The sequence below is a fragment of the Homo sapiens genome, chromosome 2 (assembly GCF_000001405.40).
Source record: "Homo sapiens chromosome 2, GRCh38.p14 Primary Assembly".
Classification (NCBI taxonomy): Eukaryota; Metazoa; Chordata; class Mammalia; order Primates; family Hominidae; genus Homo; species Homo sapiens.
This window is the reverse complement of record NC_000002.12, coordinates 167,703,167-167,722,106: the sequence shown is the minus strand read 5'-3', so window position 1 is coordinate 167,722,106 and position 18,940 is coordinate 167,703,167. Positions and strand designations below refer to the sequence as shown.

General features: G+C 39.1%; 1 protein-coding gene and 1 pseudogene across 3 annotated transcripts in view; one reads left to right on the top strand and one right to left on the bottom strand.

Moving 5' to 3' along the window:
- Positions 1–18,940, bottom strand: part of B3GALT1 (beta-1,3-galactosyltransferase 1) — a 581,045-nt gene that overhangs the window by 151,939 nt on the left and 410,166 nt on the right. The gene's annotated exons all lie outside the window — the stretch shown is intronic.
- Positions 6,042–8,610, top strand: CTAGE14P (CTAGE family member 14, pseudogene; annotated as a pseudogene).

Genomic DNA, 18,940 nt, shown 5'->3' with positions numbered 1-18,940 from the left:
CTAATTAGTTGACTCCTTTATCCTCTTTACACAGAATAAATTTCTTCAACAAAAGCAATTTGGAGAGAATACTACAGCCAAGGGTGATAATTTGAAGAAACAATAAAAATAAATGAAAAACACTGGATTCATCATTACAGAATATTTATCATTAGAGACAAATAATTGAACCCTCCAAGAGTTCAGAAAAATGAAAAGAAAATAGTGCCACTGAAGTGGCAAATGCCAGTCCCTGACTGCTCTCAACCTCTAGTTTACTACCTGGCCGGAATTTCATTTGCCTACAGGACCAGCCCTCCCCAGATTCAGAGCCATTGCTGCCTGATGGCCAGGGTACGCTCAGAGCCCTAGGTAGCTCTCCTTGGGATGTGTCAGCCACAGTCAGGTCCCCAAGATTCTACATTGATTTCTTCTTCTTTTCTGAGTTGGATGTTTCTTGTTTTGAAACACTGGCTTTGTGCCCTGGCGCTTTGCACAGCTTTCCCCAGTTTTCTCCTCCTTTCTCTATTTTGAGGTCTGATTCTTGTTCTATCAATTTCTAGCTGGTGTCTGTGTTCTTGTTCCCATAGGCAGTGCATCCAGAAAGAAAACACAACACTGTTATACCTCTCTTAAGATACATCTGGCATTTTCTGATGGGAAAAAAAAATCTAACTTATATGGCTATTTTCTGTTTCTGCCTCTGTCCACAAAGAGGAATTTTTACAACAGGGAATAATCAAAGGCAATACAGTGAGATCTACCAACTCTCCCTTTTCTGCACTGCTTCAATTGCTCACAAATGGTTTCCCTTTCCTCAGCTTTAACTGCATATAAACCTGCTAAATTCTTTCATGTTGTCCAAATAGAAGCTCTGATCAGATACCAGCATTTCCTGGTTGCATTAAATAAATTATCTGTAACTGTGTATTTGCTTTAGCACATAAACTAAATTGTCTGTAACGGAGTGTATTTTCAATGACGAATAACACCTGCACAGCATTTTCTGGCTGAGATGAGAGAGAGAAGAGAAAGAGTGAGAGAGAGAGAAGAGAGAGAAAGATGGAGATATACAGAGAGAGATGGGGGAGAGAGGGAGAGAGAAAGAAGGAAGGAGATGAAGAAAGAATGCTGAACAATAACAATAACAATAACAACAACATACAATAGAAAGTTGATTTCATAGGATGGCTCATGTGAGATTCCCAATGCATCTTTTGTACCTCTTCTCTAGGGGAAACTTGAGAATATTACACTCTCAGTGTTCAAAAGGCAGAAACATGCCAGTCAGAAAGCCCCATGTAATATCCTCAGTAAACAATTAACCAAACCAAAATTTCAAGAATGGTTACAAAGAGCATCAATGTGTAGCAGGGGTATTTTCTCTTGGAGGACATTTAAACAACACCACACTCCAATGCACCATTTCCAAAACCATAGTCTTCTTTCAACAGCATTGGCATATATGTATTGAATGACACTGAGTAGATGAACGAATGAATAAATGAGGTTGTCACATGTCCTGTCCCTGGGATTCTTCTTTGGTGACTATGCAGCTGTGTAAAAACCTTCTTTTTGTTGAACTCCCCAAATGAGATCCTCTTCATGGATCTTGCAAGTTGTGTGACCGTGTTACTTTAATGCAAGTGGTGTTTATTGACAGTGACTGAGTTTGGCACCATTTGTAATCATCTGAATACAAAAACTGGGAACAATTTCCAGTGTCCAGATGTTTGCCATGCTGTAGGTGAAGCAGACAGATAATGGAATGTTTTAACTTCCCCCCAGATGTTTTAGCTAGTGTCATCATAATATCCCCTCTACCAGCAAAGACCAAATAAGTGATTAAATTAGTAGACAGCATCAAACCACAAAACTAAATAAACAAAAATCAATTTCACCATATAAAAGCCAATTCCTACGTAGAAAATGTTGATATAAAACAAGTACTGTTTTTATCAAAATGTTCAATCCTGCTTTATCTCTAGAGTTGCATTACTGAGAAAGCCCATTATGTAAAAAATATATATATAACATTTTAATCACAACATATGATGTAAAGGAAACCACACACTAGTTTGCTAGAATTTTAGACATGGTACAACTCAGTTTGCTCAAGTGCAGCGGTTGTATCTCCCCATTCACCAAGGGACCTGTTACTGGGCCAGGCTTCCTGGACTTTCTTTTTTTTTTTTTGAGACAGGGTCTCGCTCTGTCACCCAGGCTGGAGTGCAATGGTGAGATCTCAGCTCACTGCAACCTCTGCCTCCTGGGTTTAAGTGATTCTCCTGCCTCAGCCTCCTGAGTAGCTGGGATTACAGGCACGTGCCACCATACCTGGCTAATTTTTGTATTCTTTAGTAGAGATGGGGTTTCACCATGTTGGTCATGCTGGTCTTGAACTCCTGACCTCTTGATCTGCCTGCCTCGGCCTCCCAAAGTGCTGGATTACAGGCGTGAGCCACCACGCCCAGTCCCCTGCACTTTCTTATCTATCACCTTTGTTATCTACTGCTCTGATAAACAAAGAATCAAGCCTCTCAAACAAAGCAGTTGTATCTAGTGACCAACAAGCTTTTCCTCTGCAGGTATAAAGTTGGGACTAGGATTCTATTATAACAGATGGCAATCACAGACATGAAATTCTATTTTCTATAAATTTGATAAGCTTGTGTTAAATTATATTAGGTAAACTTTAGTGCAAAAAGAGCACTTACAATCATTTAGTATTTATTATTACTCTTGTAGCATATCAAGCACACATTCGCGGAATCTGCCTGTACGTCAAGCATTATATTATTTGCAAAATTCATAACTAAAAAGGTATTTACATATCATTTAAAAGCATCTCAAAAATCAATGCACATACATGAACACATATCTGACACAAAAACATAGAAAATGAGTAAACTCAAAGAAAATTATAGTCATGAAGCTTGGGATAATTTCAAACTCTCTAAATAGAAATGCTAGTGTGCTTTGGTAGTCAAGCTGAATATGCCACTATTTTACTTGACCTTGACTGCTATAATAACTAATGCTATTTTTTAGATTAATTTGTGTATTGATAATAAATCTATCACTGAGATGATGTTGCATGAATCAAACATCTTTCCTACTGAAGTGTATATTGTTAAATTGTACGCTAGAATTCCTATCTACCTATTAACAGCATTCCAGATATGCTACCCCAAAATAAGGCACCTTGGCATTTGAGAAAACAGCAGAAACAGGAAGTTCTCTGTTGTCCTCCCCTGAAGCAGGCCATAAAACTTATTAGAAAGGTCATTTTCTGACCTTCTCCCTCCTTTCTCCCCTGAACACCCTCATGTGACAGGTGTCCTACCCTATCTAAACAAACAGGCCTTGCTAAATCTCCCCTGACCCAGTTGATGACCATTAGATCATGCCCTTTTGTCCTCCCATCACACTTCTGCGCAACTCTTTATAAAAACACACAGTTTTCCTGTTTCTTGGGTCTTCAATTTTGAAGGCCTTGTGTCACATAAAACATAATAAATACATTTGTATGAAATAATTTAAAATTTATTAAATAGACTTGTATCTTGTTAAACTATCTTTTTTATAGGAGTCTCAGCCATGAACCTAGCAACTGGTGAGGAAAAATATTGCTTTTCTCCCCTCCACTATTCTACACTTAAAACTTAGTGATTGCAAAAACTAATATTGACACTCAAAAGCAATATTTATTAAGAATACATTCGTCATATGCAGAATGACACTAACATATTTATATCATGTCTTTGCCCTGCAGAACAAAGATGATATTTGATTGTTTCATGAATCATAAGAGAGGTTTGAAATTGGGGATTTTTTTTTTTTGTTTATGAACCAATTTGGATAAATCCTGTTTAATAACCGTTAATCCACATTTAACACAACTCTTGCAAGAAGAGAATCTTAATTCTTGCTGAGAAAGTTGCTCTTCCTTTCCTGACCTTCTGTAATTTGGTCACAGTTTGATTCATGCTTGTTTTTCTGTTCTCCCCTCTTGTGTACTCTATAATCCAAACAAATCAAAATGCTCTGCATTTCTGCCTTCATCAACCTGAGTTTTCTGATGAAAAGACCTCCCCCTAACTGGACAAACACAGTTAAAAAACTGTAACAGATCATACAAAAGGAAGAAATATAATTATTCCTTAACATGTTAAAATGATTTCACTAGTAAACAAGTAAAAATGAAAGCATGAAGAAAATTGCATTTTTTAACCTATTAAATTGCATAGAGACAGACGGATAGACATTCCTTTGCTGACAATATTGAGGTGAATCTGGAAACTTCATGTATGGCTGGAAAAAGAATTAATTATCTTGCCTTTGCCAAATAAATTGGCATCATATATTAACAGTTGTAAAAATGTTCAGAAGCATAGATCTCATAATCCCACATTTATAAACTTATCCTAAATAAAGAAACCAAAGGAGGAGGAATAAATCTTATCTGTAAAGATATGTTTTTCTAATATCATAACTTAATGTCAAATAATAGTGAATAAACTAATTAAATTACGTTAAGTAGAATATTATGTTGCAACCAAAAAAAGATGACAATTATGAGGACAGGTGTGGCGACAAAGGAAAGTACTTTTAATAAGTAAGTTGAAAAGTTAAAAAAAAAACTATGTATAACAACATGACTATCACTGTATAAAACATGTATAGTAGGGGGAGGGATAGCATTAGGAGATATACCTAATGCTAAATGACGAGTTAATGGGTGCCGCACACCAACATGGCACATGTATACATATGTAACAAACCTGCACATTGTGCACATGTACCCTAAAACTTAAAAGTATAAAAAAAAAACTCATAGATAATCCAGATATTGGAGTTAATAGATAGGGCATCATAATATCTATGATCAATATAAAGGAAAGAAAGAAAAATCAAAGGAAAGAAAGAAAGAAAAAATAGATAGGGCATCATGATATCTATGATCAATATAAAGGAAAGAAAGAAAAAATGAAAGACAAAACAGGTTGTGTCAGATTTCTTTCTGGCAGCTCTAAAATGCTCACTTTATTTTCACAGATTCTAATTTCCTAAATTATGATTGATGTTTCAAGCAAAAATCACAGCATTGTCTAGTGTTATTCTAAATGTATGTAAGACAATTATACTACAAATTTGAGAGGGTAAAGAGACATAATATGACAGAGGGTTGCTACACTTCACTCAGACTGGACTAAAGATGATACCAATTGACTGTGATAATGTATATATAAAGGAATATACACTAAGCTATAAAATGCAACCAAAAAAACTATAAAAAAGAAGATACACTATAAACACTATGAATAACAAAATGGAATTCTAAAAGAAATGTTCAAGTGACCCACAGGAAGTCATCAAAAATAAGCAGAGAAACAAGAATTGATACAGAAAACAAAAAATGTCAGGCTTATGCACTAAAGTATCAACAATTAGTTTAATTATGAATGATCTACCAAGAGACAGATAATAGAAGAGTGTATTTAAAACTATGACCCTTTCTTATATGTTTCTTGTGTGCTGTGTACAAGAAACTCACTTGAAATTTACCAATACAGGGCAGGCCAAATTAAAAGGATGAAAAAAGATATATTACACAAACATTAATGAAAGGAAAGCAACAGTGCCTGTACGTATATCAGATAAAGCAAAGAAAATTACCAGAAACAGAGAGATTATATAATGATCAAAGGTTTAATCCATGAAGAAGACAGCAATTTTAAAAGTGTATTCACCAAAAAATAGAGCTTCAAAATATGTGATGTGAAAACTGCCAGAACTAAGGCGGGTCGGGCTCGGACCAGCGCTGCCTCAGGATGTAAAGTGTAACAGGGGGGCCGAGGGAGGGTGCGGGGGGCAGCACGGGCCTGTGAGGCCTGTGGGGGGTGCCCGCATTCCCCAGCTCCCTCCGCAGCCGGCTCCGCAGTAGTCCGCTCCGGTTGGTTGCCGCGTGCGGATTCGGGTTCCAGACCCAAGGCTGCGTGTTCTCCACCGCTTGTTGTGGCCAGTGTTAACTGCGGTGACCGCCAGAGCAGCTTGGCGCTATGGAGGAGCCCGGCGCTACCGCTCGGCCCTACTTGGGGCTGGTCCTGGAGGAGCTACGCAGAATTGTGGCAGCACTACCTGAGAGTATGAGACAAGATTCGAATCCTTATGGTTTTCCATGCGAACTGGTGGTATGCGCAGCTGTTGTTGGATTTTTTGTTGTTCTCCTTTTTTTGTGGAGAAGTTTTAGATCGGTTAGGAGTCGGCTTTATGTGGGAAGAGAGAAAAAAACTTGGTGAAATGCTTTCTGGACTAATTGAAGAAAAATGTAAACTACTTGAAAAATTTAGCCTTATTCCAAAAGAGTATGAAGGCTATGAAGTACAGTCATCTTTAGAGGATGCCAGCTTTGAGAAGGCGGCAGCAGAAGCACGAAGTTTGGAGGCAACCTGTGAAAAGCTGAACAGGTCCAATTCTGAACTTGAGGATGAAATCCTCTGTCTAGAAATAGAGTTAAAAGAAGAGAAATCTAAACATTCTCCACAAGATGAACTGATGGCAGATATTTCAAAAAGGATACAATCTCTAGAAGATGAGTCAAAATCCCTCAAATCACAAATAGCTGAAGCCAAAATCATCTGCAAGATTCTTCCAATGACTGAAGAACGACGGGCGATAGCAATAAAAGATGCTTTGAGTGAAAATTCTCAACTTCAGGAAAGCCAGAAACAGCTTTTGCGAGAAGCTGAAGTATGGAAAGAACAAGTGACTGAACTTAATAAACAGAAAATAACATTTGAAGACTCCAAAGTATAAGCAGAACAAGTTCTGAATGATAAAGAAAATCACATCAAGACCCTGACTGGACACTTGCCAATGATGAAAGATCAGGCTGCTGTGCTTGAAGAAGACACAACGGATGATGATAACTTGGAATTAGAAGTGAACAGTCAATCGGAAAATGGTGCTTACTTAGATGATCCTCCCAAAGGAGCTTTGAAGAAACTGATTCATGCTGCTAACTTAAATGTTTCTTTAAAAGCCTTAGAAGGAGAAAGAAACCACATTATTATTCAGTTATCTGAAGTGGACAAAACAAAGGAAGAGCTTACCGAGCATATTAAAAATCTTCAGACTCAACAAGCATCTTTGCAGTCAGAAAACATATATTTTGAAAGTGAGAATCAGAAGCTTCAACAGAAACTTAAAATAATGACTGAACTATATCAAGAAAATGAAATGACACTCCACAGGAAATTGACAATAGAAGAAAATTACCAGATAGAGGAATAAGAGAAGCTTTCTAAAGTGGAAGAAAAGATCAGCCATGTCACTGAAGAGCTGGAGACCTATAGAAAGCTAGCCAAAGATCTTGAAGAAGAATTGGAGAGAACTGTTCATTTTTATCAAAAGCAGGTTATTTCCTACGAGAAAAAAGGACATAATAATTGGTTGGCAGCTCGGACTGCTGAAAGAAACCTCAATGATTTAAGGAAAGAAAATGCTCACAACAAACAAAAATTAACTGAAACAGAGTTTAAATCTGAACTTTTAGAAAAAGATCCTAATGCACTTGATGTTTCAAATACAACATTTGGCAGAGAGCGTTCGCCATATGGTCCCTCACCGTTGGGTCAGCCTTCATCTGAAACGAGAGCTTTTCTCTCTCCTCAAACTTTGTTGGAGGATCCACTCAGACTCTCACCTGTGCTTCCAGGGGGAGGAGGAAGCCCAAGCAGCCCAGGGAATCCTCTGGACCATCAGATTACCAATAAAAGAGGAGAACCAAGCTGTGATAGGTCAACTGATGCTCACAGGGCTCCTTCTGACACTGGGTCCCTCTCATCTCCATGGGAACAGGACCGTAGGATGATGTTTCCTCCACCAGGACAATCATATCCTGATTCAGCTCTTCCTCCACAAAGGGAAGACAGATTTTATTCTAATTCTGATAGACTGTCTGGACCAGCAGAACTCAGAAGTTTTAATATGCCTTGTTTGGATAAAATGGATGGGTCAATGCCTTCAGAAATGGAATCCACTAGAAATGATGCCAAAGATGATCCTGGTCATTTAAATGTGCCTGATTCATCTCTCCCTGCCGAAAATGAAGCAACTGGCCCCGGCTTTATTCCTCCACCTCTTGCTGCAATCAGTGGTCCATTGTTTCCAGTGGATACAAGGGGCCTGTTCACGAGAAGAGGACCTCCTTTCCCCCAACCTCCTCCAGGAACCATGTTTGGAGCTTCACGAGGTTATTTTCTATCAAGGGATTTCCCAGGTCCACCACATGCTCCATTTGCAATGAGAAACATCTATCCACAGAGGGGTTTACCTCCTTACTTTCATCCAAGACCTGGATTTTACCCCAACCCCACATTCTGAAGGTAGAAGCAAGTTCCCTTGAGGGTTGATTCCACCTTCAAAGGAGCCTGCTACTGAACATCCAGAACCACAGCAAGAAATCTGACAATATTTTTGCTTTCTTCAAAAGCAACTTTGACTGATCTCATTTTCAGTTTAAGTAACTGCTGTTACTTAAGTGATTACACTTTTCTCAAATTGAAGTTTAATGGAATTACAGTTCTCAGGACAGTATTTTGTAAATAAAGATGGTTTAAACATGAAAAAAACAAAAACAAAATGTATAGTGATGTAGAAACATGTTTGAAAGATATACAATACAGATAAGTTTGTTAGGATGGTGCAATTAAGTGTGTTTTCCCATGTGATTTCCATTTTATAGAATTTTCACTTCATTTTGTGATAATAATTAATTAAAACAATTAAAATTCATGTTTTATCTCTCAGTTCAAACAGATCTTCCTTCCAAGAAAACCTTCGTAATGCCTTATTTATATTTTATTCTTGGAATTTATACATGTTCTTGCAGTAGAGTTATCAGTGAACTTGTAGTAAGCTAATAAGTTGTGTAATTACTTGTTTCTAGATTTTGGAAATGGGCACAAGAGTTCGTAAATAGATCTATGTTTCATTAGTAGTAAGAATTGTGACTAAAATTTTGAGATGCACTCAGTTGTCTATTCTGCTCAGAAGGGATAATAATTGCCATGTGTGCACCTGCAAAATCCATGGGCCTCTTTCTCCAAAGACTCATTGTTATCTAATATTCCCATATGGACATTATCCAAAATGGTCACTGATTTCACCCCTTGACATGGTATTTTTCCCCCTATTGACAGTAGAGAAACTAATCATTGCAGCTATTTAAATAAATTTAACATTGAATGCATTATTTTTCTAAATCTCTGCTATTAGAGATGGGGTCACTTCCAATAGGAAGCAACACTTTTTCCTAGTGCTTAAAATGGAGATAGCCCTAACAGATGCCCCAGGTAATTTCAATGGCTCAAAGAATTCCAAGTGCAGTAGAATCCACAGTAGGATCTGGAAGAAGAACAAAAGAAAATGGGTCTTGTTTCAAGTCCAAGTTCTCTCAAGTAAGCACAGAGTAATCCAATTTGCTAGAGATTTAATCCAACAGGGTTAGTGAGCAAGGCACCTTCAGATTTAAAAAGGAAAAACAAACCCCGCAAAACTTTAAAAAATCATTACTTAAAGCATTTCAAGCATGGGCCAAGCTGAGGATCAGGCTCCTGGAGGAAATGCTGGGTTTTGCTTCCCCCCAGGCTGCCATCTGGCTGTGCTCTATGGCATGCTAGATGCTGTGAGTGTGAGTTGCTATCTGCAGGTATGTGGACTCACTGGATTCCACATTATTTTTATTCCCATTTCTTCATCCAACACTAATCACATGTGTTTGTACTCTGGAAACCATCTGGCAGGTATGGCTACCTACCATGGCTATGTCATGCTGCAGCATATTTAGAGGCTCTCTTAAAAAATACAAATACAGTAGTAGGTTAAATTGAAGAGGTAAATCCAGGTTCTGGACCATATATCCTTGATCACTGTCTTTTTTCCCACTGCTCCATTATTAAAAGTTTGGATTAAAATTTGGGAATCAACCCACATAACCATTCAGAAAGAGAAGCTTCCAAAAGGCTTAAAAGAAGTAAGGAATGAAAGCCAAAAACACAGAAATAAACTGAACATTGGGGAAAAAAAATCTATACACTAAAGCTAATAAGTTTTGCATTGTATTTCCAAGGAAATGGTGGAAATTTTTTATTTTTGAGACGAAGTTGCGCTCTGTCACCCAGGCTAGAGTGTAGTGGCATGATCTCAGCTTACTGCAACCTCCACCTCCCCAGCTGAAGCAATCCTGCCACCTCAGCCTCCCAAGTAGCTGAGACCACAGGTGTGAGCCACCACACCCAGCTAATTTTTTTTGTATTTTTAGGATAGATGGAGTTTTGCCATGTTGCCCAGGCTGGTCTCAAATTCCTGAGATCAAGCTACTCGCCCACCTTGGCCTCCCACAGTGCTGGGATTACATGCATGAGTCACCACTCCCAGTTGGAATTTTTAAATTATTATTTTTATTTACAAGACTTAGGCTACTTATGTAGAACTGGTAGTGATGAAAGTTCTTACCACTTGGAAATTACCAGATTCAGACTCAGAAAAAAAATACTGAATGATTTTATTTTAGACCTTAAGTCAGAATAGCATTTAGTGCTTTAAGTTTCTTTCTTCTGTACTCTTGTCAGTCAGTAGTTCCTTCAGTGACTCAGAGGACCGTCAGGTACTACCTTTTTCTACCTGCAGTGCCATTCATTCACCCATTTGTTCATTCTAAAAACATTCATTGAATATCTGCTATTGTCAGACATTAATGCAGGTGCTGGGTTACAATGAAAACCAAACAAGTAAATAAAGCATGAAGATATTAGATGCTACAATAAATATAAAACAGAGGAGTGATGTGATGGAGTGCGACTAGAGGTCTTGTTTAGATTGGATCAGGGAATGCATCCTTGAGAAGGTGACATGTAAGTGGAGATGGGATTGATTAGATATTAGAGGCTTTGGTGGAAGAGCATTCCAAGTAGATGCAACACAGTATTAGGGCCCTAAGATGTTCAAGGAAGAGATAAAGGCAAGAGTAGCTGGAGCATAGGCCCAAGTGGAAGATGGGTAAAAGATGAGTTTGAGTGGGGAGAGAGGGATCATCTTACATAGGGCCTTGTAGGCAGAGTGAGGCATTTGGATATCATTCTAAATGCAGTGGAAAACCCTGGAGGGCTTTACACAGGGCCACTAATCTGATCCACTTGAAAGATTGCTGCCATTAGGGAGACAAGATAAAAGCAAAGAGACCAGCTACGGGCTATTTATTAACTTAGCCCAGGTGAGAGATGATGGCCTCTTAGACCAGGATGGTATGTCTTAAAAGCAGACTTAGCAGGTCTTGCCTATTGATTTGAAGGGGCCAGGAGCAAAAGGAAAAGAGGAACCAAGGATGATCACGTTAAATAGACTTAAAAACTCAGCAAAAATATTCCCAGCTCTGCAAAATGAATGGGAAACAGGGAGCTCACTTGATGAAATTCCAGTGAAGTAACATCTGGATTGCAGTAGATATATGCATTTCCTTTTAGACATTAATGCCCTAGGAGGTTGGTCTCTCATACATCGAGGAGGACCTGCAGACAATGCTTTGAGAAGCACAACCAATTCTAAATGAAAGGCAGGCCAAACTCCTAACAGAAACTTCCCGAGCAGTTTCACCACCCTTGGGTAGCTTTGGAGCACAGCCAGGATTTTCACTGCAAAAGAGCCACGGTTTCCTCGTCTGTAAAATGAAAAGTTTTAAATTAGATGTTCTCTAAGGTTGCTTCTAATTTAAAAATTCTGTGGATTGACACCCTACTGGGTCTATTCTAGGGATCTTGAGTACATAAGCCATACACAATAAGTTACAGTAATAAAGATACTTCAGGGTTTAAAAAAATTGTTTCATTCCTACACTTAATTCTGTATTTAAAATAAGTTTTTCTTGGTTGAGTATTTATAGTCTTTCTGAAGTGACAGCAAGTGAAGATAGTTTTGCTTGAACATTTAAGTCTACCCTTTGCACCTGGGGTAAAATTCTTCTCTTTAGGGGTAAATAAACCACAGTTAGAATGCTTTCCTTTATTTGAATAATTTTTTTTTCTGGGTACCCAGTGTGCTGGGTCACTTCACTGAGTGGAAAAAACATATTATCTGTACTTACACAAATATATACATAAACATATATTTGCTATTATTGAGCATGTGCTATGTGTCACACTTTGTGTTGTGATAAGTGATTTTCACATATTTACTTATTTAATCCTCACAAGAAGAAGTTGTAGGAATATTTGTCTCATTTCATAAATGGGTGAACTGAGTCTTAGCATGTTGTAGAGCTAGAATTTCCACCCAGTTCTGCCAGACTTCTTAGTCAGGCTCTTATCTTTGGAAATGAGAGATATATACCTACCACTTCTCATGGCGAGGATTAAATAAGTTGATATGTGAAAATCACTTATCACAACACAATGTGTGAACCCAGCTGTTCCATGTAGCATTCTGATGTACAACTATCACTATGCCTTTTGTGCTATTTGAGGCTGTAGCCTTTCTAAATTTCTCTCATTATTCATAACTCTGCTCCACTCACATTTCCTATCAAGGCTTAGTACATCTTCCCAAACAAATATTAACACAATTTTAGCATACTCAAAAACCCAATGACATCTTGAGCCCTGGGGCACCAGTTAGAATAGGGGTTTATGCTACACCTGTGGATTTTATTAAAGGTTTATTTCTTTCCCTAGTCACCTTCCTTCCCTCTCTTTCTCACCTCATCCAAAATTCAGCAGAAGTCCACAGGGCACAGTGCTCAGAAGGTATTATCTGGTTATTAGTTTTTAATTTTCCTTGGAAACTCTAAAGCACTGCTGCAGACTCTGGATTCCATCTGGGTTTGTTATCCTTCCTCCCTTTGGCACCACACTGCTCTGGGCCTAGGCCAGCCCATGGCAAAAACATCTCCTTTTGTTTCTCAAGCACACATCACCAGGTACTTGCCCTGTTGATGAGCAGCCTCTCAGTCTGCTTGCTTTGTCTGCTTTTTGGTCTCTTGGTCACAGCAGGGCATGAAATGGGCAGAAGCAAAAATACCCAACAAAACATTTATCCTAAGGTCTCCAGACTCCTGAATTCACAGAATTCCCCAAATATCAAAGTTACATAAATATTTTATGGTCCTATAACCAAGTGGAGGAGAAAAAATATTTTAAAGCAAAATAGACAGTAATATTTTCTGCCTTCTTACTGGGGGAGATGGAGGTGGTGGCATTATTTATATTATTCTAGAAATAAATCTCTCTCTCTCCATTCCTCTTGCAGACACTGGTGAGGGAAGGAGAAATGAGAAACTGGGCACATCAATAAGCTTGGTGTATACAATGGGAGAGCTAGAGCTGAGCCTGGGGCTGGAGCTAGAAGGAGCTGCCTGGTTCAATCTGCATGAAGTGATAGGATGATACCATTTTCTTTTTCTTTTTTTTGAGATGGAGTCTCGCTCTTGTTGCCCAGGCTGGAGTGCAATGGTGTGATCTCAGCTCACCGCAACCTCTGCTTCCCAGTTTCAAGTGATCCTCCTGCCTCAGCCTCCTGAGTAGCTAGGATTACAGGCATGCGCCACTGTGCCGGCTAATTTTTTGTATTTTTAGTAGAGACGGGGTTTCTCCATGTTGGTCAGGCTGGTCTTGAACTCCCGACAGCAGGTGATCCACCCACCATGGCCTCCCAAAGTGCTGGGATTACAGGCGTGAGCTACCGCACCTGGCCTGACTCCATTTTCTTGTGTTTTGCTCCAGAAGAAACCACTGAACCATGCCGGGTGGCTGGCTGAGCAGAGTTAGCAGAACTGGTATCTAATCAGAATGTCTAAAGTGTAACTTTAAGTTGTTATTCTTATGCACACCTTCTGTCTCCTCACACTTCAGGTAAAATTTGTCTGTTGGCTTTATTATTTCCTACATTTGATTTGCTATTTTGTGGCAATCAAGGAAAGGAGAGAAATTGTATCTAAGTGAGATGTAGTACAGAGCAGAGACACCATGTGTGGGATGGTGAAAAAATCCATAAACTTAACAAATTTAGGAGGCATGGGAGTGTAAAAATAGAGGTGACTGGGAACAATGTAAGTCATCCTCTCCTCCACCAGAATTCCTGAAGTGATTGGAAAGAACATTGAAACCCACACTATGCATGATGTTTGAACCAATTTTATTTATGTCTCAATGGATGTGGTGCCCTGGCTAATATCTAGAGGCCATTACCAATGTAACTGCTATTTTATAATTATAATGCAGGTTTCATTGGTTCTTGCCCTTACGTGTTGTGATAGCAGAATAATGGCCCTCCAAAGAGGCCCACATGCTAATCCCTGGAATCTGTGGACGTGTTAGGTTACATGGAAAGGGGATTTAAGGTTGCTGCTGGAATTAGGGTTGCTAATCAGCTGACCTTAAAGAGAAGATGATCCTGGATTATCTGGGTGGGCCCAATGAAATCACAAGGAGCCTTCAAAGTGGAAGTGAGAGGCAGAAGCAATGTCTTGTGAGAGAAGGACTCCACCATTTCTGGTTTTCAAGATGGAGAAAGGAAAGCACGGGCCAAGGAATTTGGGCTGCTTCTAGAAGCCGGAAAAAAAAAATAAGAAAAATAAATTCTTCTGCAGAGTATACAGGAAAGAACTCAAACCTGCCAAGATCTTGACCTTAGCTCATGGAGACTCATGTTAGACTTCTACCCTACGGAATGGAAAGATAGTAAAATTGTGTTGTTTTAAACCACCAAGAATATTATGGCAGCAAACGCATATCTGTCAATACTTATCTATTGCTACATAATAAACCACCCCAAAATTAAGTGGCCTAAGCAAAATGAATCATTTATTTTGCCTGGAAACCTATAATTTGAGCAGGGCTCAATAGGGGTGTTTGTCTCAGTGCTACACACCATCATCTTGGGTGCTTCTTTGGGGCATGGAGAGTCCACTCTCAAGGTGGCTCACTACCACGGCTGAAAGGTGTGCACTAGCTGTCAACCAGGAGGTGGGCTGGGAAGCTCAGCTGGGGCTGTGGGCTTGGGAACTCATTCCCTTTCCATGTTTCTCTCCACAGGCTGTTTGGACTTCCTCACAGCATGATGCAAGATGATTGCAAAATCAAGCATTCCAAGAGAGCAAAGGAGAGGATTTAGGCCAAAATGCGACATTGTTATTACCTAGCTTGGGAAGTAATATACTTTCACTTCTGTCAGATTCTATTGGTCTGCTCAGGTTCAAGAGGATTGGACAGAGATTTATCCCTTGGTAAGGAATGGCAAGTTTTTAGTAAAGCATGTGAGATGGCAGACAGTTGTGAAGCCACCTTTGGAAGTTACAATCTGCAATACTCACTTATGTGAAACCTCAGCTGCTTGTGCATTGTATCCCAAAATCATTTCTGGGGGACCACTGGGGATATTCCATGTGTACTTCAAAGTAAGCTTTGCACTTACCACCTACATGCACTTTTAGTTTTCATCTCCTGCTTCCCACACTTGTTTCTGACTACAGCTGTGTCTTCTGATAATGAAAAGTCTGTTGTTATTCCCATCTCACTATCACCATTGAGGAGTGTGTATGTTAGGCTGTAACAAAAGAGGAATGGCAGCTCTTGGTCTCTCTGCTTTTGGTTTTCCTCTGATAAGGAATACCCAAATAGGACATTTTCTTTGAAGGTCCTCAGTGTCTTATGCAAGTAGAGTCTAGCGAGTCCAGACCTAATTGAACTCTGGAGTATACACATTAGGTTCAGACTCACAATAACAGAACTACAATTTAGATAACCTTTGGAAATTTTAATTAATCAAGGTACATCATCCCACACAGTCTTAGCCGATTTGCAATTAGAAAGATTAGTGTCCTCTGCCTTCTTTGCCACAGTTTCTTTATATCTGTGTTTCCTAGCTGGAAGACTAAGCTTGGTTGAATGATAAATAAGTAGATAAAATGAGGGAAGTTAAATTTTCTGTATCTTGTGCTCTTTCATATCAGTTAAAGTAGCTTCCGTATAGAGAGCTCAGTTACTGATTGTCTCTTCTTTTCAGCCTCCCCCGACCCCCTTAAAAAGGGTTTAAAATCCCAAACCTAGATTGCTTCAGGCTCTTGATTTTAGAACTAATGTATGGGTCCTCTTGCCTCTAGTCAATGCTATCCAACAGAAATTTCTGCAATGATGAAAGTGTTTTATACTTGTGCTGTCCAATATCGTGTCCAATAGCCACATGTGGCTATTAAGCATTTGAAATGTGGCTAGTGTGACTGAGAAAGTGAATATGTAACTTAAAAGTAAATAGCCACATGTGGTTAGTGGCTACCATATTGCAGAATGTGACTCTGGATGCTGGAATATGAGTGTGACTTTTATGTCCTCAGTTTCTGAAAACTGCCTAGAGCCAAAGAAGAAGGTTTGAGGCAATTAGAGTCCCAATTAGATTTAGGAGTATGTGGGTCTATTATATATTGTTACAGCTCTAGCTGCATCACAGAATTAAAGGCATGAAGAGTTTAACTGGACTCTGACTTTACAATCTGATCAGTTTTATTTTATGAGGTTAGCCTCATTTACCAAAGACAGAGCTATGCCAATTATCTTGTTTTCATGGACTTCAAGGCACTTTACTAGAAAAAAATAAAGAATTAAAAAAAAGCATCTTGATTCTTCTTATAAGGTTCCCCAAGCCTTGCCTTGTCATTGATTAAGTCTGCCCCGGGCCTGTATTGCCTTTCTCCCATTTTTTCTAATATGATGAATAGCTTTGCATAATGCAAAAGAAGAGTTCTTCAGGGATTAAAGCTGAGATAAGTTTTTCTTTTGGGTCTGCTATAATAGCTATCATAAGTCAGCTAATGCAACATCATGTTGTGTAACAAATCACCCCACAAGTCAGTGGCTCACAACTCAAACAAGTATACGTTGACTGGGTTCAGCTCATCTAGGCTGAGTACAATGAAGTTTGGCTCTAGGCTGTAGGTTGCTCAGGTCTGCTTATGTCTGTGTATCTCAGGGCATGTTCTCATAGAGAGTCAAATACACAAGCAGGTCACATAGCCAAGCCAAGAGACAAGAGTGGGATAGCACGCTTTTCCCACTAGGAGGGATGGATGATGAATAAGAGTGAAGATTTATGGCGAGTAACTCAATTTATCACACCTATCCCAAACTTTCTCTCTTTCTCTCCCTCTTTATTTTATCATAGTGATGATAAAATCAATGCTTTTTAAAAAGCTTCTATCCTTGGAAAAATGATGCTTTGACATAGTAAATAAATCAGTGACTTGGGGTATCTGGAAATTAGATTACCAGTTGTGATCTTTAATAACCTATTTTATATTCCAATGAATGTGGATGGGATAATTCATCTTAATGCATCAATTTGATGACATTTTCTCTTTTTCTTAAACTTTCATGTTCATTTACTTAAAAACAGACTAACTAATGTACCACTGATCTCTCTGGAACTACCCACTTGGAGCTCTACAGCATCTGTCTATAGTAATTCCAGCTCAGTCTAATCCTTTAAAATCTTTAGAGGCCAGATCTTTAATATAAATGAGGCATTCCTAGTTTTTTTTTTTAAAGTAGGCTAGAGAATAATATGTGGGTATATGTGTGTGTGTGCATGGTATGATACTATTTTTGCAAATAAATATATGTGTATATCTGCTTAGAAGGATTAGGAAGGTTAGATGATCTCTAGGGAGTGTTAGTGGTGTCTCATTTTCACTTTTTCCTTTACATACTATCATATTGTTTGAATATTATTCGGTAAGCAGGCATTATTTTTATGACAAAAAGTTGTTAAAAATAAAAACTACATCATTATACTTCTAATATTTTGACAGCCTGTCACAGTTGGCAGGATAGAAACTTCATAATTCCATGACTTACCAGTTTATAATTCTGAGTTACCTTTTTTTTTTTTTTTTTTTGTTGAGACTGAGTTTCGCTCCTTTGCCCAGTCTGGAGTGCAGTGGTGCGATCTCGGCTCATTGCAAGCTCCGCCTCCCGGGTTCACGCCATTCCCCTGCCTCAGCCTCCCGAGTAGCTGGGACTACAGGCGCCTGATACCACACCCGGCTAATTTTTTGTATTTTTAGTAGAGACGGGGTTTCACCGTGTTAGCCAGGAAGGTCTTGATCTCCTGACCTCGTGATCCGCCCGCCTTGGCCTCCCAAAGTGCTGGGATTACAGGTGTGAGCCACCGCGCCGGGCCCTGAGTTACCTTTTCAGAGGAGAAGAGAAAGACATATGGGGTGCTTTTGAGGGGTCAGTCAGTAGGAGTCTTTTAGGGTTCAGTAGGAGATTTTATTTTGTATTGCTCTAGTTTCAATTGAGGTTTCCCTTAGCCCTTTGTTTTTAAATATCTCTTACTCTGAAATGATCTGCCCTTGCAACCATTTATAAGCATTCCAGATTTAGTACAGCTTCCAATAAAGGGAAGTCACTTAGCGGAAAAGTGACCAAGCGTTTCTGCTTTCTTACAAAAGCTCTGTGGTCTCCATAGCATCATTTTGTGTCATCTTAAAATGACTTGTAGCCAGGCAGCAGATGTCATCTATTCTAACAGCAAAAGCTTTTTGCAATGCTCAACCATTCCTGTTTTTAACCTTAATTTTAATCCTTCAGTACCAACTGTTAAAGAGAAAAAAAATACAAAACGTAAGTTTCCCAGGACTAGGCTTTTCCTGAGTCACTTCAGCATGGGTCAGGGGCTCATACACCAAACTCCTAACCATTCATGGAAGTCGGTGCCCCTACTCCAGCCACTTGCATACCTTCTAGGCATCTAATGTAGGGAGAGTAGCCCAGTAGTCAGGGCAGCCCTGTTGATTCCTGAGTTTGAAACCTGGCTGTTCATGTATGACAACCAGTAAGTTATTAAAACCTTACTGAGCCTCATTTGTTTCCTCCTGCAAAGTGTGGATGAAAATGACACCTACTTCTTC